Raw genomic sequence first — 24766 nt, 5'->3', positions numbered from 1 at the left:
TGATGTTTTAACCTTCCTCCTGACCTTTAGTCTTCTCTTGACCTCAATTTCCTCATCTAGTTTGAACAATAATAATAATAATGTAACTCTCTGTAAGCCATCAAGTCAAGTCCTCTTTGGAATGTGTGGGCTATAAAACAAATACATAAATTTCTGTTCCAAGTGATTAGTTTAATTAGTAGGTATGTCTTGGGGGGAAGGAATTGTCTCCCTGTTGGTCAAATTACTCTGACAAGAGCCATGTGTACTTTTGATGAGGAAATAATCACTGATGTGCATCTGTAAAGCAGATACAAGGAAAGATAGAAATCGCTTACCTTTTTTGTAAGCCAACAAATAAGTATGCATCCCAAAATGCAGACTACAACAAAGGCTGCACATCCTATGGGTAACCAGAACTTCAGCTGGCAACAAAGTTGTGATTCTGGATTGGAAAAAAAGGTATGTTAATGAAAAATTCTGCTGAACCACAAGTTCTCTTACCAAATTTAAAAGAGCTATTTAATCAAATGAAGCTTTTCTTTATTATAGTCATGAAATCCAGTAAGTGGGCAAGTTATTAGACTAACATCATCTCAGTATTATGGCAAGGATCCAGGAACTAAAACTTAAAAGATTATGCATATAATGTATTTACAAATGTGGTTAATAGAAAGGGCTTTTCTGCCTATATTTTTATAAAAGAGGTAATAGTAAAAGTAATGTTATAAAACTATGATTTTCAATCATCATACTTCATTCCACAAACACAGTGCAAAACCAAACCTTAAATCTTAGGTGAATAGAGATAATACCCATTATTAAGCCATAAGTTTAAGTATTTGTCTTAATGTTTTTCCTGATTTTTAATAGCATATGTGTTTAAAAGGCAATATGATCTATTTCTGACTTAGCAGTCTATGGGATTACATTGCATATTGCTGAATAATACTAATTATGATTAATAGTAAATCATCACCTGTATATCTTCATTATAAATGATTACCATCAACTGCATCTAAGTGAACTCCAACACAAAAGATATTTATTTGTCTAATTGATTTTATTAGTGAGAAAAGTTGTCAAAACATATATATACTCTTAAGTTTGGAAGATGAAAGCAATGTCTTACCATAAATATGCAAATATCCTCCTGTAAGAGTTACTTTAAAAGGAGGAGGATCAAAAATTGATAGGTTGCAGAAGTAATAGTTGGCATGAGAATGGTCCAAGTTGTATAGAAAAAAAGAGACACTGTTGTTGGATAACTGAGAATGGCAGAATTTCAGACTCTTAATGGACACTGTGTTTCCACTTCCTTTTGTCTTAGTGAGATCGCAGAGTATTTGCCCCCCTTTCAGCAACTGCATTTTAAATTGCTGGACAATGTCAGGATATTTGCATAAAATTTGTACACCTCCGTTGTGAAATATAAACATCTCATAATTGGCAGAACCATTGATTTCTCCTGCATAAAAAGAAAGAAAACAAAGCAAAAGTGACATTTTATAATGTTGCCCTAATAATTATATTTTAACATAAAAGCAATTTATTCAATGCATAAAGTCATCTCTGTTGCACCAAAATGAAACAGCTTCACATTCTCCCTCCACCCCTCAAGGAAGAACATAAGATAAAACTATGTCCTAGAGAAAAAAAAATCCTAACCAGAAACTTGCTTGTCATATGTGAATATAGAATATACTAAATATTAAATAATATATTTACATAGTGTGTATGAATCAAACTGGTATGGCCTCTGTCCTTTGGTAGCTTTCATATTGGAGGCAGATGGTAAAGGAATAAATATGTAGTAATGCAACATAATTTGTGATAGGAATGGAGTACTATTTAAATGAAGGTGGTAGAGTCAGGTGGGTTATAATTTTGATTATAGAATCAGAAAATGCCGCCTTGAGGAAGTGAGTTTTAAAATTGGAATTAAAGGATTAGTAGCACTTAGCTAAACAGAGAGATATGGGAAAAGTTGAAGTTTAGGAAAAACTTCATTTATTAGTAGGTATATCTTGGGGAGAAGGAATTGTCTACCTGTTGATCAAACTACTCTGACAAGAACCATGTGTACTTCTGATGAGTAAATAATCACTGATGTACATCAGTAAAGCAGATAAAAGGAAAGATAGAAATTGCTCACTTTGTAAAAGTACGAAGTAGTTTAAAAATGAATAATTGTATATATATTTTATATATGTATGTATATTACATATTATATATTAAAATATATGTATTATATGTATATGTATATTACAATATATAGAGACTATGTGTGTGTATATATACAAATAATTGTATACATATACATACATATATACACACATACATTATGTCCTCCTGCTAAAGAGTAAAAGAACAGACTAATCATTTTCAAATGACAGAAATGTATTTTCTCCAAACCTCATCCACTGAGAACTGAATCAAGGCCTGATAATAAAGATAAAGCCCCAGATTTTTGTTTACTTTTTCTCTCTCTTTCTTTTCTTTTCTTTTCTTTTCAGAGAAAAGGGTTTACTCTGTTCCCCAGGCTACAGTGCAGTGGCATGATCCTAGCTCGTTGTAGCCTCCACTTCCTTGACTCAAGGGTCCCTCCTGCCTCAGCCTCCCAAGAAGCTGGGAATACAGGCACACACCACCATATCTGGCTAACTTTGAAAAAGAAATTTTGTAGAGACAGGTCTTGCTATGTTGCCCAGGCTGGTCTTGAACTCCTGGCCTCAAGCAATCCTCCTGCCTCAGCCTCTTAAAGTGCTAGGATTACAGACGTGAACCACCATGCCCAGCCCCACTTTTTCATTTTCTGAAATAAATTTATGCTTATAGGAAGCCAAGGTTGTTTTTGCAAGCTACATGGGAATCACAGAAGGAAAAAACTGAAATCACCTTGGCCTGGTGGTTGCAGATTCTGAGTTATTAGACTATAAATTCAAACTGCTCATTGCCTTCTCTTTCTTTTTGTTTTATTTTCCTTTTTAATATGACAAATTTTCATGCTGAAATTGTTTGGGAAAATTATTAGTATGCTGGTTTTTTCCTAAGTTTTGAAATCTTGGTCTTTGTTTTTGAGAAAACTATGTAAGTGTAAAAAAATTTTAAGGAAAAAAATTACCTAGTTCTACAGTGAAATAGAAATACTATTTGTATATTTTTGCTCTTTATCTTGCAAAAACATACTTATTATTTATAGCAAACATGTTATTTTGTGTTCTGCTATTGTTATTTTATGTCATAAACATTTCATTTTTAGTCATCATAATTATCCTTTTTAATGACTATATTATTGGCCAAAATGTTAATCTATCATAATTTGTTAAAACTAAAATACTAACGTTGGATATTGGGATTATTTTCAGCATTTTGCTTTTATGTAAATATTATGACATTTGGTCAAAATGTTTAAAAGTTATAATACTATGTATTGCCATTTTGCTTTCTGAAATTTGTAACAGGATTAGCATTATGCAGGAGGGGCTATTTGTCACACCTCTACTTACACTAGTTGCCTTAATTTTATTTAAGATACACAATTACTTATTTTCTTAATGACCCTGGGCTTCAATTTATATTTTCCCTATATATCTTCAATTTGGGTGATTTGATTGTGAAAATAAGCACAAGTGTTCTAGTCTTCAGTTATAGCAGTCCCTATTATTCAAACTAATTCTCACGCCAAAACAACCAAAAATGTTGAACAAATGTCCAAAAATATTATTAAAAGCATTAAAGAATGACACAAAGGAGGAGAAATTACCAGGCTAAATTTGAAGAGAGAACCAGAACCCCGAGAGACAGGCAAAGCTTGGAAGCTGCTTTTACTCGGAAAGCATTGCTGTTCTTTCAAATTCAAACTTTTGTTTTTATGTCTCAACTCCCAGAATCTGCAGAGTGAGTGATCTAGCAGAAAACCCTCTCCCCAATAAATTGGGACCCCAAAGAGTTACATTCTTGGAGCACAGGTAAAGAAATAAACCAGACCTCATTCAGATTAGATGGTCCAGAAAAATCTTCTGGACTTCAATGGTTAGAAAACCTCAATCCTTGAATTTTCTTTAAGGAGATTTGCATTATTATTACCCTTCAGCTTTTGAAAGTAAAAATGCAAACTATTACAAGAAGAAAAGGTTTACATCCTAGGCCTCAAAAAATTTCATACAAATAATATTCACATTCAATGGCAAACACATCACAAAAATAATGAGACATACAAGAAAACAAGGGAACAACAGAAACAACAAACTACAAAAACAAACTCATGATTTATATACCTGAATTATCAGGTCCCCAAAATAAAGTAATTAAGCTTATTATGTTTAAGCAAATAAGAGAAAAACTTGTAATAATATCTGTAGTACACAGGAAAATTTAAGTCAACTAATTTGAAAAAGAACCTACAAGAATCGGCCAAAAAAATGCACTGAGATTTAAAACTCAATAGATAAGTTTAATATATATTAGACAGAGTTAAAGAGAAAATTGGTGAACCAGCAGATAGGTTGGAAAAATTAGTTAGAACCCAGTCACACTCCACAGATTCAAGAATCCCAACAATTCACAAGCATATTTTTTAAAAGTATGCACACCTAGATGTATCTTAGTGAAAATCCTAAAAGCAGCCAGAGAAAAGAGACTGATTACCTTCCAAGGAGCAACTATTAGACTGTTTCAACATCAACAATAAAAGCCCTGATACAGTGGAATTATAACATATACCTCCAATGTGCTAAAAGAAACATCTGTCAATATAGAGCACATTGTCTAGAAAGATAGTGAAGGTATATGTAATTTGAAACTTTTCTAAGTGAAGTATACATGTTTTGATTTCTTCCATAATTACTAAAAAATAGAAATAGTTAATATAATCTGAATTAGTATCACAAAATTCAGCCTAATGGTTTTGTCTAAAGAGGGAGAAAGAGTTGGAATCAGAAGGAAATAGGGGTGCTGACAGTCTTGTATTTCTTGACCTGTGGTGATTATGAGGGTAAGATAGTATGCTTTAGCATTATTCATTAAATTATACATTTTTTTCACTTTTCTATATGTATGTTTTGTTTTATAATAACAAGTATGTTTAAAAGCATACAGAAGGAAAATAATACTTGCTTCGTTTTAAAAACTGGAAGGAACAATATTATCCAGAGGCAAAGAAAAAAAAACTGTTGGCATGAGAACAGGTGCAGTCTACATTAGATTAAAACGTAGGGTATTTTGCTTGGGGCTTTATTTGTCTGACAGTAAAATATGTTGCCCCACTGTTGCTTTGATGCGTATGTCTCTACCGTCTGCTGCAGAAGATAAAATCAGTGGACGGGTTCTCAGTTCCTTTAGAAATGTTCACAAAAAATTTCCCAGAGACTTTAGAATGGCAGCAAGTAAACCACAATGATCTTGGAGCCAAAGCGTCTGTGGTCACCATGTATACACAGACATAGACGCATTGTCTTCTACTTCCGAAGATGATTTTCTCAGCAGATTTTTCCCCCATTGTGCCCGCACTGTGGCAAACACAAGAGGACATGAATGGTTGGCGGTGCAGTGTGGTGGAAGTGCATTGCAGTGGATCCCAAGGAAACCAGAGGCAAATTCTGGCTCTGCCACTAGCAAGGCTCTGTGGCTAGGGTACCCCTGTGGAATTCAGCCTCCTCATCCGTGAAATGAAGAAGTGAAACAAAAACATCTTAATGTTATTTCTAACACCTGCTTTCTCTGGATTCAGCATCAGAATATATCCAGATAAGACTGCAAACAACTGAGAGAGCTAATTCTTTGCTGTTGGGTAAGTCTTCCAAAGGGAAAACAATGTTCCTGTTAACCACTTTCTGTCTCAATATCATAATGGGCTATTCCAGAAAGTCAGAATAAATTAAAATAAAGGAGACTGTCTTTCTTGCCCACAAAAGTATTTAGGTAGGACCAGGAATGCCGTGCCTCAATTTTTCTTGAATGGCATGTTGAGAGTGTGTGCCACTGACATCAGCTGAAGATTTCAGAGTGTCATTTCTATTGGACACTCTTTTTTTTTTTTTTGAGATGGAGTCTTGTTCTGTCACCAGCAGGCTAGAGTGCAGTGGTGCAATCTCAGCTCACTGCAACCTCTGCCTCCTAGGTTCAAGCGATTCTGCTGCCTCAGCTTCCCAAGTAGCTGGGACTACAGTCACATGCCACCATGCTCAGCTAATTTTTGTATTTTTAGTAGAGACAGGGTTTCACCGTGTTGGCCAGGATGGTCTCCATCTCTTTACCTCACGATCCGCCCACCTTGGCCTCCCAAAGTGCTGGGATTATAAGCGTGAGCCACCGCACCTGGCCTGGACGCTCTTAATTACTCATTTTTTTATCTTTAACTTAAAAACTACCTGGATCGCCTATTTATTATGAAATGTAGTGATCAGAAGGCTGACTTAGGTTTCCACATATCCAGTGTTTAAACTTTCCATCTGGAAAACCGCTTGACAGCTCTAAGTCTGCAGTTCGAATGTTTTTAACTATAGCATTTAATTAATTATTTCATAACTATTTTGGCAGATATAGAACAGATATGCTTGCTATAGCTTGAATGTTTGTCCCCCTCTGACTGACACTCATATTGAAAATTAATCCCCAGTGTAATAGAATTGGGAGGTGGGGCCTTTAAGAGATGATTGGCAGAACCCCCATGAATAGCTTAATCCAATTCATGGGTTAATGGGTTAACAGATTAATAGGTTATCACAGGAGTGGGTTAATTATCATGAGAGTTAGTATGTTATAAACAGCCAGATTGGCTGTCTCTCAAGAACCTCCTCATCATGTAATCCTCTGTACTGCCTTGGGCCTCTGATGAGTGTCCCCACCAGAAAGAAGGCCCTCACCAGATTTCGCCCCTAGGCCTCAGCCTAGACCTAGGCCCCTAGACCCCTAGACTTAGGCCCCAGCCTCCAGAACTGTAAGAAATACATTTCTTTTCTTTATAAATTACCCAGTCTCCGGTATTCAGTGATAGCAACAGAAAATGGACTAAGACAATGCTCAAATGACAAATTACAAATTCTTCTTAGCCTTTGGTAACATTTGAAAATAGTATTAAAGGAGACTGCCCCTTATAACCATGACTAAAGCATTTAATGGATAGACAATTTAAGGAAGATCTGAATACGTTAGTTTCTTATAACTGCAAAAGCATCTAGGATCTTTTCTCCATCCTTCTTGGATGTTCTTATCTCCAAGTCTAATACTCAGCCTGGAATGCTGGTATGATAGATAGCACCACTTTTATAGATAGTGTCTGCTCTGATTGGTAAGGTGTCAAATCTATTTGGTCAATTCTGTTGCCATACCAGTAGTTAAAAATTGTCAGTGTTCCCCTTACCAATCTCTCTCTTCTTGTTCTTTCTTCCTTTTTCTCATGTTTGCCTTTTCTTCCCATACCACCTTTAATATAAAATCTTCTCCAAAACATCCTCTCTCATACTATCTTTGATATGCTCCTCATGCTTCCTAACATACCATTTCCATTGCTAATAAATTTCATCAACACTTCATGTTTCAGGCATCCTATAAATACCCTCAGCTTTACACTTTTTGTTTCCTGTAACATGATTCAACCTCTTCTCAGCATCATACACAGTCAGATCTGGTGACCTCTTTTGTGTACATACAGACAACTGAAGGCCCAGACAGATTAAATTATTTGCCCGAGGTCACACAGCTTCCTGGGTGCATGAAAGATTTTTGGTTCAATCCACAGTCAAAGTGTCACTAGCAACAATCAACAGAAGTATAATAGAAGCAGGCAACCACAGGAAGCTAGACAGTGGTCACTAACAACTGAGTGTTACAGGACCAGTGCTAAAAATCTGTGAGCAGGAAGAACGCCTAATTTCCAGCACCTCTGTTTTATGTCCAACAGAATCTATCCACTTCTCCTCCATCTCAGCTTCAACTGGTCCAAACCATTGTCATCTCTCTCTGGGACTACAAGAGCTTCTGCTTTTACTCCTGCCCATTTACAATCCATTCTCCACAGAGAAACCAGAATGACCTTCTTACATGCATAATCCAATAGAGTCATTGTTCTGCTTATAAAACCTCCAGGTGCTTCTCATTCCACTTACAGTAAAATCTAAGTTCTTACCCTGGTTTCCCATGACTTGCATGACCTCTCCTACCTCTCCCCATTTTATACCAGTCACACACTACACCACAGTCACACTGCCCTTCTTTCTGTTCCTCAAACACACAAAGCAGGTTCCCAGGGCTTTTAATTTCTCATTTCTCCACCTAGAACATTCTCTCTGATTTTCACATGGCTGCTTCTTTGTCATCGTTCAAGAGTAATGACACTTCTTCAGTGACCACTGGCCACCCAATCTAAAGAATATATCCAGGTCATTATCTAGTACATTAACTGACATAAAGCATTTATCACTGTCTGAAATTATCTGGTTTATCTGATTGTTTTCTTCTTTATTGTCTGGCTACTCCACTCTAAGCTTTAAAACCAGGGACCTTGTTGGTCTTATTCACAAATCCATCCCAAGTATCTACAATAATACCTGGTGTGTTGTAAGCTGCAATCAGTATTTATTGGATGGATGAAAGCATGGTTGGATGGGCGAACAAATGAATATATAGACGGTGACATTTTAAATCTGAGGAGATGAAGCACAGGATTTATAATATAAGAGCCAAAAGGGCTTCTAGAAATGACAAGTTAAACCTTTCATTTTGCATTTTCCATTTGCATTTATCAAATTAAACTAGAGCCAGAAAAGGTGACTATCTTGCCCAGGATTACATAGCTCATAGCTGGGGCATGATCCCAGAGTTAGCTATGCCATATTATTGCTTTTCTTCTGGAAACAAGTGTATGAAGATACACAATCATGCATACAAGACACTACCCCAACTGAGATGTCATGTTCTAATGGAAATTATCTGTCTGAGCTTTAAAGAAAAACTTTCTTTACCTTCAAATATCCACTGGGTTCATAAATACTTATTTAGACAGTTGATAATTCTCTTGGCTCTTATATGTCTGTGGAGGGCAGGACAACTTTGTTCCATCCAAGTGAGCAACAAACCTGGTTGCTCACTTGGATGTCCCAAAGCGCAGCCATTACATTTGCCCAATATATGACCAGGACAAGAACCCCTGGACCAATGGTTGTTCTAATATACCAAGATGTTTTATAAACACAGCATGTTAGTGGTTTGTGATATAAACATCATCTTATATCTTTTAGCACTTAATATGTTACTAAAATCACAAAAAGGAATATGTGGTCTTGGATCCTGGTGATGAGTCTTAAAATCTGAATATTAAACATGAGGTTTTGTTTTGCTACCATATCTGTTTACTTTTTATTGGAAACCCTAGATTATAATCAGTCTGGAGAACAGGTACTATATTTTCTTCATCACATAGAATACTGTGTCTAACAGGGCATATTCTTCCCAGTAGAGGCTCAAGACTGTTAACTGCTGCTAACAATAATTTTTATAGGCCGGGCGCAGTGACTCGCCCTGTAATCCCAGCACTTTGGGAGGCCGAGGCAGGAGGATCACGAGGTCAAGAGATTGAGACCATCCTGGCCAACATGGTGAAACTCCGTCTCTACTAATAATATAAAAATTAGCTGGGCGTGGTGGTGTGTGCCTGTAATCCCAGCTACTCAGGAGGCTGAGGCAGGAGAATCGCTTGAACCAGGGAGTCAGAGGTTGCAGTGAGCCGAGATTGCACCACTGCACTCCAGCCTGGCAACAGAGCAAGACTCCGTCTCAAAAAATAATAATAATAATAATTTTTATAATATTACTGTTGATATCAATAGACTAATGTTTTCAAGAGTAAAATAAAAATCTTTATATTAAGTGATCTCTTTAGGTTTTCAAAATTTATAAAGCACAAGAACATTTTCTTCTTCTTTTGGGGGACTATTAAGAAAATTTCTGAAGAAAAGGTCATTCACCTGAGAATTGCACTATAGTGCAGATGAGTTCATTTGCAAGTTGATGCTTTTAATATCTGGACTACTTCATTTCACCAGTATAAGATGCTCATGCCCAGACCCATCCTGCTGGGACTCTTTGCAAGCAGTTGTATTGTTCCTGGTTGAAAATCCTCTGGAGGAAACATTTAAAGAACCCACTCAGTGCAGAGCGTGCAAGATATCAGAAATGTAATTTTATTTTCTTTAACTCAGACTTCTAACCACAAACCTCCACAAAGGTCTCAGAGTGATGGAAAGATAAGATGTCCTGAGTTTGTAATCATTGATAGTGCTTATTAAACACATTTTCTGTAATCAAACAATGATAAGTGTTAGCTTAGCACAGCACATGAATGTGACACAAGAGGCAAAAGTCTAAAAATTGCAATGTTTATATTAGGTTTTAGTTATATTTGATGTTTTACTAAGAAATTCTGGCATTAAAAAAAAAAGTACTTCCTACCACTTTTCTCACCTTTCATAAAAGCAATGTCATGTCTTATGAGTCTACCAGCTAAAACCTTTAGATCCCTGGTTAGTAGATTTTTATATATGCATCATTTCTAAACTTACATTGCTATTCAAAGGCACCCATAATCTAAAGAAGTAATTGAGGCAAGGAAGGGAGGGAGGATAGACAAGATAAACCCAATCTAACCTAAATGCCTAACATTTGGAGAAAAAAAAAAGAAAGCAAAAAAAAAAAAATGGGAAGAAGAAAAGTGAGGAGAAAAAGCCAAAAGAGTGCTCATGAACACACACACAATGTGTGCATTGTTTTACTCTCCAAGGAACTCCATAGGGGGTACAAAACAACCCTTTGGTTCTCTAAGTGTGTATAATAAGAAAAATGAAAGATTGATTTTCTCCTAGTTAAAACTGATTTCTTCATGAAAAATGAAAAAATCCCAGTGGTATTATAAAACTTTGTATCAATATTCACAAAGCAATTAATTTACAAACAAGTTATTTTGTTAGTTACTTCATTGCCTTTGATTTGAAACTATTGTACTAGGGAAATCATATGAGATTAAATGAACCCAACTCTCTTCCACAGAGTGGGAGGGAGAGAGGATTTTATCCACACCTCTGAATACCCACATTGCTTGCCATTGCTCAGCTACTGTGCAAAACTCCTTGGGCACATGGACAGGGTGTTCACTGCCTGAACTCATTTGCACCTATGGCTCCAGCTCTCATGTCTACCCCCAGGAGCCCACATTTTCTCTCCAGCCCAAACTTCTAGTTCCTTGTTTCCAAATTCCTTTCAACATCACTATCTGGTTTTACCCTAACACATCATGTATAGCCTTTCCAAACTGAGCTCAGTACAGTCATGCGCTGCATAAATGACATGTTGGTCAACGATGGACTGTATATATGGTGGCGGTCCCATAAGATTATAATACAGAAATTTTTAATGTCCCTTTTATGTGTTTAGTTACACAAATATTTACCATTGTGCTACCATGGCCTGCAGTATTCAGTACAGTAACATGCTGTACAGGTTTGTAGCCTAGAAGCAATAGGCTACTCCACATAGCCTAGGTAGTGCAGTAGGCTCTGCCATCTAGTAGACATCATTGCGTCAGTACGCTCGATGATGTTCACACAACAAAATCACTAAGGACACATTTCTCAGAATGTATTCCCATCGTCAAGTGGCACGTGACTGTATTCATTCACCAAATCCAAACCCTGTCTTTTCAGGGAGTCACTAGTCTGACCCTAGGAACCTCAGAGTCTTCCTCATTTCTTCCTCTCTCTGATTTTCATCATCCAATTGGTCACCAAGTCCAGTTGACTCCAGCTCATGAATATCTCTTAAATTCAATTCTTTTTCTCCATTCCCATTGCCAATCCACACCTTTTTCATGTCTTCCCTTATCTGTGGAAGCATCCTCTTGACTGGCCTTCTCAATACTGATCTCTCTCCTCCCCATCCCTCCTCCATGCTGCTCCCAAAATTATGTTTCAGAAAAGCATTTCACTCCCCAGTTTAAAAGTCTCTATTAGTGTTCTATTGCTTATAAGGTGTTTTAAAATATATATATCTGGCTTGACACAAAATGCTTTCACAATCTCATAGGCCATCTATTGAAGCCACACTGAACTTTTTGGCCATTTCTTTCACACTTCTGTTCTTTACTACTAGAATATGCTTCACATTTCATTATTTCTGTTACCATGAACTAAAATATTTGATTACCCCTTAATCTGAGAAGAAATTCTCATTCACTCTTCAAGAACCATTTTAAATGTCAACTTCTCTCTTGAGATATTTATTTCCAAGACCACCAGACAAAGACTCTTATTTCTATGCTCCCAATAATACTTTGTTTAGGCCAGTATATTTTAGCACATAGCATCTTGGATCATAATTATTTTTGTCTGTCTTCCTCATTTAACCATGAGCTCCACAAAGATAAGGACTGCATTACAGTTGCCTAAAAAATCCCAGGACCTTGAACATAGTGGAAGCTCAATCATATTAAATAAAAGAATTAATATTAACAGAAGAATATAAAGGCTAAGCATGTTTGGTAAATATCTTTGTAATGGGCCAAGAAGAGGAGTGGGAAAAGGAGAGCAAAGATCCTATTTACTGAAGATTGGGAGATACTTATTTCCCAGTCAAAAAGAAAAGACTCACGGGAAAGGGAGACCCTCCTCTCCCAAACACACACTCTGACCGGAGAAGCTGAGCGTCTGTTTGTGGAGAAGTTTCCGACTTTATCTGGAGGTGAGTCAAGTTAGAGAGCCAAACGGAGCAAAATACAGGGGTAGAGGAAGCTGCAGAAAGGCTCTGGGAGCTCAATGGGTCCCCAAGCAGCCCATTCTTGCCAGGCACCACAGGGATCCATCTGGAGGGTGGCCAGAGGAGCAGGGTATAAAACTCCACAGGGAGAAGGAATTCTCTAGCTGAACTTTGTAACTATTTGAACAGGGCAAGAAGTCTCCTGGCCTGAACTGGGGGGAGGCCGTGAATCCAGCATGCAGATTTCACATGCAGGGGAAAAACTAAAGCCCTTTTCTTTCACAGCTGGGAGGCAGAAAGCCTCAGGCAAGTTTTCAAGCCAGTCTTGCCCTTTGCCTGGAAACAGACTTGGGGCGGTTAGAGGAGGCATGATTAGAGTGAGACCAGCCCTTCCGTTTGCATGGGATCTGGATGAGACCTGTGACTGCCGGTTTTCCCCCACTTCCCTGACAACCTGCATGACTCAGCAGAGGCAGCCATAATCCTCCTAGGTACACAACTCCAGTGACCTGGGAATCTCACCCACATCCCCCACAGCAGCCACAGCAAGACCTGCCCAAGGAGAGTCTGAGCTCAGACATGCCTAGCCCTGCCCTTCCCTACCCACCCTGGTTAGCAGAACACAAAGGGCATATAATCCTGGGAGTTCTAGGGCCCCACCCACCACCAGACCCTCTCTATACTATTACAGCTGATGCTTTCTGGAAAGCGCCACCTCCTGGCAGGAGGCCAACCAGCACAAAAATAGAGCATTAAACCACCAAAGCTAAAGGCCCTCATGGAGTCCATTGCACCCTTCGCCACCTCCACCAGAACAGCACTGGTATCCATGGCTGAGAGACCCATAGATGGTTCACATCACAGGAATCTGTGCAGACAACCCCCAATACCAGCCCAGAGCCGGGTAGATTTGCTGGGTGGCTAGACCCAGAAGAGAGACAACAATCACTGCAGTTTGGCTCACTGGAAGCCACATACATAGGAAAAGGGGAAAGTATGATATCAAGGGAACACTCCATGGGACAAAAAAAAAATCTGAAGAACAGCCTTCAGCCCTAGACCTCCCCTCTGACAGCACCTACCCAAATGAGAAGGAACCAGAAAACCAACTCTGGTAATATGACAAAACAAGGCTCTTCAACACCCCCAAAAAATCACACTAGTTCACCAGCAATGGATCCAAACCAAGAAGAAATTCTTCATCTACCTGAAAAAGAATTCAGGAGGTTAGTTATTAAGCTAATCGGGGAGGGACCAGAGAAAGGTGAAGCCCAATGCAAGGAAATGCAAAAAATGATACAAGAAGTGAAGGCAGAAATATTCAAGGAAATAGATAGCTTAAAGAAAAAACAATAAAAATTTCAGGAAACTTTGGACACAATTTTAGAAAGGTGAAATGCTCTGGAAAGTCTCAGCAATAGAATTGAACAACTAGAAGAAAGAAATTCAGAGCTTGAAGACAAGGTCTTCGAATTAACCCAGTCCAACAAAAACAAAGAAAAAAGAATAAGATAATTTGACACCAGGGTACACACACTTACTTAATCTCTTCACCTAATAATCTAGTCCAATCCTCTCATTGTACAGAAACTAAAGCATCAGAGCTAAAGAGATTTGCTACGAAATAAAAAAACAAAAAGAAGCTTTTAACATTAAGCTAGATATGAAAATGAATTTCAGGTATTTATTTTCCTTCTAGGTATATTGGATATATTATCACCTTAATACTTAAAGTAGTATTCACATTGGTGCCACATATGTGTTCTGTGATTGAAAGGGTTATTATATATCAAAAAATTATTTTAAAGTGACTTAGATATGAAATTACATTGTACATAACACACTCATTTCCCTAGACATTTTCATTCATCAGCCATCATGTATTAAGCTGGGCTGTCATTGTACCTGGGTTCTTCTCTGATGAAGTCTAAATTCTTAATGATTTTCCCATCACTTATCTGCCTGTAGAAATGTACAGAAATGGATTCACATATAGAAGTAAATTTCATCATAATTAAATAAGTGCAAATAGGCACATCTATGAGATTTTTGCATTAGTCCTAGATAGTGCAAAGTAAACAGAACTTTAACTGTGAGTGCAGTAGACAGCTTGTTGTTGTTATTGTTGTTTTTGCATGTACAGATTCTTTGTTGCAAAGTCCTAGAAGAACACAAATACAGGCTGTAAAAAAAATCTATTTATCAAATTCAAAAAAGTTACCTTTAAATGATCATTAATTGCTTATTGAAAGTGCTGTGTCTGTGTCAACATGACTCAAATAAACAGATCCTAACAACACTCGTGGTCAACTGGATGGAAACTCCTGGTCTATCACCCTATTTGGGGACAACGTGTTTCTTTTTTTTCCTCAAGCAAAGTAGATACAAGCATCATTATGTTATACATGAACCAGAAGGAAGTTCATATCCCCAGTTTCTGACTCTCTAAACTTGCAAATCTTTACCTGTTTTGGTCAACCTTACAGGCCAAACTATTGAAAAAAAAAATCATTTCTTGACTAACACTTTCAATTTGTGTGACATATCCCCTACATACTTAAGTTCCACTTTCCAAAATATAATTGTGAATTTTTATAAGGTTTCAAATGCCATGTTTTTTTCACTTTGAATGACCAAAAAGTGCCATTTGACAGACCTAGTTTATTAGAACAGCAGTAGTACTGAGATGCCATTTACAGAGAAATTGTGATCTTTTCTTCAGTTATTGCAAGCTACAAATGATTTTAAAACTCATTTTTAAAAATTTGCAAAGCCCAGTAAGTCATTTTGCATATAAAACTCAATATTCTTAGAGTAGGGAAGCAGTATATGTTGTAGATTTTGCTGTTTACAACTGTGAATACTGGGATGAATTTTTTTAAGCCAAATAATGCTATGAATCTTACAGTGAGTAAATATAAGAATTTCAGTCCCCCCTACATGCCTGCATTTTGTTTCTACCAAGAAATGGGAATATGCTACTAGTAACTTAAAACTGAAATATCCATTTCATCTGAAGGAGTTGTGGTTAACAAGCAACAGCAAGTTGTGAAAGCCATTTTGTTCACAAATGATGAAAAAATAAGGGACTCAAGATCTTACATAAGAATAAGAGACATTTCTAGAAAGAGTGGGGAAAAACAGCATAAGGTATGATTAAACAAATACTAGGAAAAAAATGACTGAAATGAAGAATAAAGCTTGAGTCTAGAGATTGAAAACTTTCACCCAGTCTTAAAAAAAATAATAATAAATTAATAGAACAGCGGGGCGCGGTGGCTCACGCCTGTAATCCCAGCACTTTGGGAGGCGGAGGCGGAGGCGGAGGTGGGCGGATCACGAGGTCAGGAAATTGAGACCATCCTGGCTAACACGGTGAAACCCCGTCTCTACGAAAAATACAAAAAAATTAGCCAGGCGTGGTGGCGGGTGCCTGTAGTCTCACCTACTTGGGAGGCTGAGGCAGGAGAATCGCTTCAACCCGGGAGGTGGAGGTTGCAGTAAGCCGAGATTGCGCCACTGCACTCCAGCCTGGGCGACAGAGTGAGACTCCGCCTCAAAAAAAAAATTAATAGAAACACACAGAAAGAGAAACAGAGGGAGAGAGTTACACATATCCTGGAGGAATTCCTGAATTCCAATACTGAAGTAAATAGCTTTCAAGATTATGAAATTCTAGAGTTTTTTTTTTTTTTACAAAGGAATGAGAGTTAGACTACCATCAAACTCTTCACCCACAACCCTAGAAGCCAGCAGACAGTGGAGGAATATCTGCAACCACTAAGAAGAAAGGCTGCCATCCAGGACTCCTATTCCCAGGAAAGATATCAGTCACTCATCAAGGTAAAAGGAAGACACCCTTACCTGTACTGGAATTCAGAGAGTTGGGGGTATTTAACGAAAATAAGAGAAGTCTTCTGATCATTAGATTAGAACAGAGATCACAAGACAGGAGCAGATGTCCAGAATGATGTTGTCATTGAACGTATGTGATGTAAGTGTTAAGAAAGGATTCTTGAAACAGAAGAGAAATACTGTAAGAGGAAACCTAGCAATGATCTGCAACTGTAAGTTTTAAATTATTTCCACAAAACCCACGTATGGAGCAGGGTGCACTGTCTGGGGGAAGTGTGAGAGTGGGAAAGGAAGAACATTCTTAAGTTCTCATATCAGTGCAGGGGATGGGGACTAGGCACATCAGACAAAGGCATTTTCATTATTTTCATACAATGATAAACAAGTAGACATTCAATTAAGATTCTTTGAACATGTCAATTACTTAGTAAATTAAGAACTGTAGTCGACCTTCCAAATTAACCGGAGGCAAAGAGGAGAGTCAAAAGAAATTTCATCACACCAACAAAAATAAAAGAGAAAAAGAGGATACAACAAAGAAAAATAAGTAGTAAATAAACATAGAAATAAAATCAAGTAGAGGCTTATGCTGACTGGGAATGGCCTGAATTCATCTATCAAAAGAAAAAATTGACAACTGGGATTTTTGTTAAATCTAACAAGAACACTCTGGAAGGGGGTGCTGTCAGGAGATGACATTTACTCAGTCGTGGAGAGGCTAAGAGGGGCTCCAAGGTCAGTCATCTTCACAGACTTCTCTCAGACGCTGGAGACACTGAGGGGCTCTTTTCCCAAGTGGAATTCAGGAGTCACTAATGGAATGCCTCAGTGACAAAGGAAGGCTCAAAGTGGCCTTGAGGGCTATCCTCCCAGCTTCCTCACAGAACACATCATAATACATGCACGTTTATTAGACACCCTCTGCCATCAGCCCTTCCCAATCTGGTGTATTATCCACACTGCTTTTAAAGTAGTCTTTCTAAAACCAGAATTTGTCCCATCACTCATATGGTCCCTGTTGCCTATAAGGTCTACAAAGAGGGTCTTCAAAATGTAGTTAGACATTCACATTTTTCGTAGATATTTTTATAATTAAAAGTGTCCTATTGCTCCAAGTTCATTAAAAAAAAACAAGACTTTGTTAAATTCTACATTGAGATCCATCAAAGACTAGAAATCAGCAAGATTCCCATCCTTCTTAATTCACAACCAAATAACAAAGGTGATCAGAATCATTGAGATTTACGTTCCTTTAGATTTATGTTACACCTCCACTACTTCAACACAGTTTAGAAAGAATGTAGATGTTGGAGTCACATTAGAGTTCTAACTTTGGTTCTGCCACCAACTACTGTGTAACAAATCACTTAACCTTTCCTGGTTGGAAATTCTTCAAACACTGACTAAAGGTAAGAATGCCTACATCTTCATGGCATGAGAAAGCCTATGTAAATTGGGAGGATTGAAAATACAACAGAGGACAAGCAAGTACTTAGTTTACTTGAGTTTGGCTCTTTTTCTTTAGAGCTTTTACATGGCAGTTTCTGGATACATGCATTGTGGAGATATTTTAAATAGGATCATTGCTAGCAGATTTATTGTTACCATTTAGCCACTCGTGCCTCAGGTTTGCCACATGCCAAACAGCATGCCACATCTCATGGCTTTCTTTATAATGAGAGTGAACATTGGTTGTATTCATTTAGAATCTACGATGAATATTGTTCCAGAATACAAATTATTCGTCAGCTTAATCTGGAAACTTAAAACAATCCTACCTAAGGCTGGATCTCACCTTCCACAGAATTGACACCGATGCTACTTTAATTCTCCTGAGCATAATACCACAACCAGAACTGCCCAAATTGGTTTGGCCTAGTTGAATGATTTTTATCAATACAAACAAACCCTTCCACGAATGGTACCAACGTTCTTGGAAGAATATCCAAAATCTGGAACATAGACTATATGGTCTGAATGGTCTGGCCTCTACTTTCCTTTCCAGCCTCACCTTGGACCAACTTGGACCAGTTGGTCATCTTGGACCAAGCTCAGCCTCTTCCCTCTTTGTGCTCAGGCACATCTGTCTGCTTTCTTCTAGTTCCCTAACCTTACCTCATTCCTTCCTGCCACAGGCTCTTTGCACTTGTTCCTTCCATGGTATGGAACGTTCTTCCCTACCTTCATACCGTTCTCCCCATTGATTGCTACCTTGTCCTTGAAATCTCCGCTCAAGTGCCACTTGCACAGGAAAGACTTCAATGAACCCTGCTCCTCAGCTACACCTCCACACCCACCCAGTCTAGTCAAGCTCCTTGTTACATTCCCTCATATAATTGAGTTTTGCCTGTAATTATCATTAATCAATGGGATTATTTGATTAATATATCTCTCTCTACCATGCAGTTACCTTCCAAAGAACAGGGGTTGACCTGGTTTTGCTCATCCTTGTACATACACCATCTGGCACAGTACCTGCTACCAGGCAGGTGCTCAATGCTACATGAGTAAATGGATGAATGAAGAATGAATATAAATTCCAAAGCTGCTCATGTCATTCATGCCGCTAAAGGACTTCATGAGATTCTAGAAAAGGCATAAACCAGCAAGTAGCCCAAAACTGTCCTTGTGCTCATTCTACATTCCTCAATCCTCTTAACTGCACTTAACTCACTTTGAGCCAGCACAAGATGAAACATTTGATCAATTTGATTTCATTTTTTTTTCATTTTTTGTAAGAACAGTAAGGTCTATTTTTTTGCCACTGAAAAAATGTATCCCTAGATAGGATCATACCTACTAAAAGTTCTGCCTTCACTTTTAGTTTATTTGATTATTTAAGTTATTTAATATTACTTAACTTTCCTTTTTTCAACCTCAAGAATAGGGCTCAGTGTGAAAGAGAAAACAAAAGTAGTACAAATTATATACAGTAAAAAGCAGCAGAAACACGTGTATTAACTTACATTGTATGTAGCATTATTTAAATTGTCCATATAGAGTCTGCTATATGCCATTCAAGAGAAGGAATCAGGGACTCCAGAATGATCTTTTTTGTAAGGTCTACAGGGGCTAGGAAGTATTTTTACATTATCCTTTCCTCCTTGGCTTTTTAGGGTGAACTCTGATACTTAGTGTCAATAAAAACTCTATGGTGCCCTGGACATTTCAGATAACAGATCATCCAGGTAAGATTAAAATCAAAATCCTTCTTTTCAAAGACTTCCCATTTTATTTTCTACCACAGAAAGAATTCCCAGTCCAAATGCCAGAGCTATTTAATTTTCATTCTGTTGACACAAGTCATTTTGCCTTTCATCTTTCTCTAAGAACAGTAAGCCACTCTGCTAGTTTATCCACTGACAGGTAACTCCAAGCAGGTAATTTAAAAATTTAATGGTCTGATGAAACATGTTTTTCATCTCAAGACACAGTATCAAAGGCAGCAATGCAAACTCAATGCCATCCACAGTGACATGAGTGACATGGTGCCCTTGGCCATATCCTGAAACTATTCCTACTTTCAAAAACCAAAACCACTGTCTTTTGGGTGCGTAATTTTTCTACCTTTGCTTTTTCTTAATGTTTACTTGAATTATAACTTAATAAGAAATATTCAATACACCACTTACCTGTTAAAACTTTAATGCGCAAGCAGAAGAGAAAGAAATACCAGAGGCCTGACTTCATGTTTGCCAGAAACAGTTAACAGTCCTCGCGTTCAGTGTTCAAAGCTGACAGTGAATTCAGGCTCTCGGTTGTTTTCTATTTGCTGGAAAGGAAGTGGGTTTTCTGGGAGTTTATGTAGTGTCACGCTTACCATCAAATCAAGGGGGTGTTTCTTCTTTGATGCCAATGGCTATATGAAAGGCATTATTGCTTATGACATGAGTTAAACAATGCATGGATTATTGATGATTTTGAAGACAGAGGAAAACATTACCCTTATTCTGGTTCCTATAAAACAAGTTAAAGAGATTATGCCTGTATTTTTCAGAACCACCCTACTTCTCTGAATCAATAGTTATGGGGGTTAACAGGACCTAAAAATACTCACATGATGAATAAAACATATATTTTGACACATTTCTATCTTATGCTAGGTGCTCCAGAGATAAGAAAGCCTTTGAAATAGGACAAGAAACAAACAAAATTATTATAGAAATTGAAGTGAAAAGATCTGAAAGAAGAGCATCATAGGAATCTGAGAAATGATATTTATGTGGCATTCATTGTAGATTGCAATGTTTCAAATGATGGGGTCAGTTTTAAACTAACTTAAACCCTGCTCCTCATATTACAGCAGAGTCTGTAGGAACCAGGGATTCCTCACCTACGGCTCAGTGAGACCAAGAATGTTTAAAAGCCTGCCGTGGTCTCCCCATCCCTGCAGGGAGGTAAAGTAGACAATAACAACAATAACAATAATAATTACATAGATAATTATATGTATATGTACTTAAATGTTTTATATGAAATAATATATCTTAATGCAAAATGTAAAAAATTAAATGTAATATATTTTATATATAAAATATACCTATTTTTATATATGAATATAGCTAATATTACATTTATATTATGTTTTATATGCATGTAAATGGTTACTGTTTGTATATATATTTACATTATAACTATAGTTTATACATACATTAACTCATTTAATCTTCTTAATCATCCCAATGGTGACCACTAATCTCCCATTTTACAGATGAGGAAAACTGAGGCACAGACAGGTAACGAACCTGGCCCAAGTCATATAGTAAGTGTCAGTGCTATGATTTAGAGAGTCTGGCTCCAGAGTCCTCACTCTTAACCGAAGCAGGTAGAACCACCAATACCAAGGCCTGCTGATCCCTCCATCCAGAAGTCTGAACGCGCTTCCAAGATGCTAGATCCAGGCTGGACTTCCCTTAGCCTGCAGAAATGACATTTAGATGAGAAGCTGAAATCAGCTGGCCAGGGAAACCAAGGTGTGAGTCCAAAAGGTCCAGGCTCTGAAACAGATTCCAGGTTTGGGGCTTTAGGCCAGCCACTAGGAATGCCAGACCACAGCCAAGGGGTCTGCAAGGTAAGGAGGAGGCTGATCCTGCAGGGATCCCCCTAGCTGCTGAAGCTTCCCCTAGCTACCTTCTGTAGGGCTCCTGGGTCTCAGCAGTGGGTGTGAAGGAAGCTGTTTGAGGGACTGAGCTAGCCTGAGAAGTAGAGCCTGGGCTGCCAGGACCCCTGGGACCTTGCTACCCCAATCTCCTCCCTTTTCACTGTACTCCCCGTAGCATCATGAGGAAAGGCTTCCAGCCCCACCGGCACTGTGCTAGAGTCCTTTCCCAGCACACAGGCAGGCAGTGGAGAACAATTGACTTCTTCCAACCTAGGTGAGGCCTAGCTCTGGAACTGAGTATGGGGAACTTTAACTTCACTTGAGAAAAGCTGTCATAAGTTCTAGAGCTCAGGGCTGTTGCACAGAGAAAAATACAAAGCAGAAACCTAATAATAAATATGCAATGAGGACATAGTGTGTGCCAGACACGGGGCTCCACGTGCATTGTCTGATCCCGTTCTCAAACAACTCAGCGAGGGAGAGTCTGTTACTTATTCTCATTTCATAGATGAGAAAACTGAGAGTTAGAGAGATTCAGTCATTTGCCCGGAGTCACAGAGCTGATGAGCAACGGAGCCTGTTCAAATCCAGACAGTGAAACTCTGGATTCCAAACTCTTAACTACCCCACCACACTCACACACTTATCCTCATTTATTTGGCTAGAAATTACTGGAAGCATTACTTTTTTTGGTCTCCTATTTTCATGGTGGAAGGATACTTAGGTCCTAGAGGAAATTCCAAGATAATTTGAATGCAAAAAAAGATGTCCTGGTCAATTGGAGGTGTAATGTTTCTACCTCAAGGGGAGAAAAGTTGCACAAGTTATGGTTAAATTCAGCTTTAGTTCAACTGGATATGTGTGGTTTTGTTTGATATGTATCTCTTTGCTTTTTCCCAACCCTCTCGCTTCTCAGTTTGTCAGACACTGGGTGGTAAATTGATCCGATAGTGGAGAAGAGCTCACTTCTATGTAAACAATGTTTTATGTCAAAGTCCTGTTTCAATGATCCTTCCCATGCCTCGCCTTCTCAAAAATCTTGGTCAAGAATACAAGTACTTGTGGTTTAAAATATTCAGAACTGCTTTCACGTGCCTGGAAAATTAACTGGGCAAAAATTTCCATTCACCTCACAGGAAGTGCTTTTAGTTTGCTTTTAATTTTTTTTCATTCCATGACTTAAGATGGTTTTGATTTGTGTATGCAGACGCCTGGGGTGAGGGTGGGGCATGGAAAGTTGGTTACATTAAAAGTGTTTTTTATTTCTTGCCTCCTGGGCACCAGAGTTCATCATGCAGCATGCTTGCTTTTCTGAAGGGCCGTAGGTGAATGTCTTTCTTTTGCTTTGCTTGCAACTTACTGAAAGCAACATTTGTCTGAGTAGAGGAGCTCAGACACCAGCATGGTTGAGTCCAAGCAATAGGGTTAGAAAGTAACCCCCAAATATCTAGGCTTCACCTAAGCTTGGTTTGCCATTCTGAAAGGGACAAGCATCAAAAGTGAGAGGTCCTTCCTAATCACAATTGCTTCAACTCCTACCTTGCCTATACTGTTGAGTGGTACCACCAACCAGCCTTCTCCCTTTTCCTGCTGATTCACCGATAAACCCCAATTACTCTACTTCCTAACTGTCTCTCAAGTATTTTTTCCTCCTCGCTTGCCAAGGTCACTGACTTAGATCAGGCCTCTGTCATTTCTATTCCCACCCTTGTCCCATTTTGGTCTGTCTTCATGCTACAACCAGAGTAATCTTTGTAAAATGTAAATAGAATTCATCTGTGTCCCCGCCCCACCCAGGATCCTCCACTGGCTTCCTCTCTTAGGTAAGGCCCACACCCCTTCAAGATTCCTTATGAAGGGCAACTCCTTCCCCAGTTCGGCCTCATCTCTTGCCACATTTGTTCTTTCTTCCTTCTGTACCAAATGTTTCCATCACGTTGAATGACATGAAGTTCTCCAAATTCCCCAAACTAACTCTTCCTTCTACTGCCAGGAGCCATCATTTTGTCTGTGCTTCCCCTCCTCACCACTCTAGCCTACCTTCTTTGGCAGATATTCCACCATTCTTCAGGCCTTTGCTTCCATACCCATCGATTCATCAAAGACATCAAACCAATGTCATTCACTCCCAACCACCCCCATAACTAGTGTCCATTTAGTGGCTTTTCTGCAACCTCCCAATGCTCCTCTGTGTCCCCCATCCTAGAAATCATTATGTTATCGGTGGAAGGTATCTTAGTTACCAGCAGAAAATCTGTACAGGTCTGCAGCAACCTCATTTCTTGCCTCTTCAGAACAAAGAATTTGACTGAGAAGCATAAGGCAGAAATACAGACCGAGGCAAGTTTCAGAGCAGGAATAGAAGTTTATTTTAAAAAGCTTTAGAACAGAAAAAAGGAGCATGTGCTTGGAAGAGGCCCAAGGTCAAGTGTGGTGTTTAACCTTGATTTTAGGACTTTATAGGCTGGCCTCTTTCACAGGATTCTTCCCTTAGGGTGGGCTGCCCGCATGTGCAGTGCCCTCCTTACCCTTAGGAGGTGAGCACATGCAGTGTGTTTAGGAAACTGTACGTGTGCTCATCTGAGGCTTTCTTCCCTTTTCTGGTGGTGTGCCTCCAGAGGCCATTTTGTCTCTTAATGCGCAGGCCCAGGAAGTTGCTTCTACCTGGTACCCGCATTCAATTAACACTTTAGTGCAACAGGTGTGGACCATCAGGAAATGACCTCTCCCTGGCACCAGCTGCCAATTTATCACTTTTAGAGAGGCAATGTGATAATTGCCAAACCATCACCCAGCATTCCTATGAGTGGGGGAAGAGCCCTCTCCTGCCCAGCTCATGCTTGTCTAGCTACCTGTAACAATTGTAACAATTATACCACTGTAATGGCCTGTTTGCTTTCCAACAGCTTCTACTAAACTGTGAGAAACATCAGAACAAGAACTGAAGATGTCTTCGGGTTTTTTTGTTACTGTTTGTTTGAGACGGAGTCTCACTCTGTCACCACGCTGGACTGCGGTGGCAACCTCTCAGCTCGCTGCAACCTCCACCTCCCGAGTTCAAGCGATTCTCCTGCCTCAGCCTCCCGA

At 38.6% G+C, this 24766-nt stretch overlaps 1 protein-coding gene and 1 long non-coding RNA gene across 4 annotated transcripts in view, besides 1 other annotated feature; one reads left to right on the top strand and one right to left on the bottom strand.

Annotated features, from left to right (window-relative positions):
• The window catches only part of ICOS (inducible T cell costimulator), a 24815-nt gene extending 4495 nt beyond the window's left edge, over positions 1-20320 (bottom strand). For 2 of the 3 annotated variants that reach the window (XR_007073112.1, NM_012092.4), the window contains exons 1-3: positions 20211-20320; positions 1112-1447; positions 318-424 (exon numbers count right to left, since the gene is read on the bottom strand). Coding sequence is in view for 2 of the 3 variants with exons in the window: in NM_012092.4 (NP_036224.1) it covers positions 318-424; positions 1112-1447; positions 20211-20268 (501 nt within the window). In the remaining variant the exon portion in view is untranslated. Of the gene's footprint in view, positions 1-317; positions 425-1111; positions 1448-16587; positions 20183-20210 lie in introns of those variants that run through there. The other variant, XM_047444022.1, reaches the window with a different exon arrangement.
• Positions 12561-13760: an enhancer, noted in NCBI's record as "MED14-independent group 3 enhancer chr2:204808046-204809245 (GRCh37/hg19 assembly coordinates)". NCBI's record gives its function as "activates an origin of replication core promoter dependent on BRD2, BRD4, P300/CBP and CDK7 cofactors, and independent of MED14, by STARR-seq in HCT116 cells {active_cell/tissue: HCT116}" and the evidence as "EXISTENCE:reporter gene assay evidence [ECO:0000049][PMID:35650434]".
• On the top strand, positions 16325-24766 carry LOC101927840 (uncharacterized). Its single transcript, XR_427213.4, has 4 exons — positions 16325-16566; positions 19695-19766; positions 20882-20975; positions 24586-24766. It is a non-coding gene; the product is annotated as an uncharacterized LOC101927840 (long non-coding RNA).

This window comes from Homo sapiens, chromosome 2 (assembly GCF_000001405.40).
Source record: "Homo sapiens chromosome 2, GRCh38.p14 Primary Assembly".
Classification (NCBI taxonomy): Eukaryota; Metazoa; Chordata; class Mammalia; order Primates; family Hominidae; genus Homo; species Homo sapiens.
Note: the sequence above shows the minus strand (reverse complement) of the source record. Positions and strands in the feature narration are given on the sequence as shown.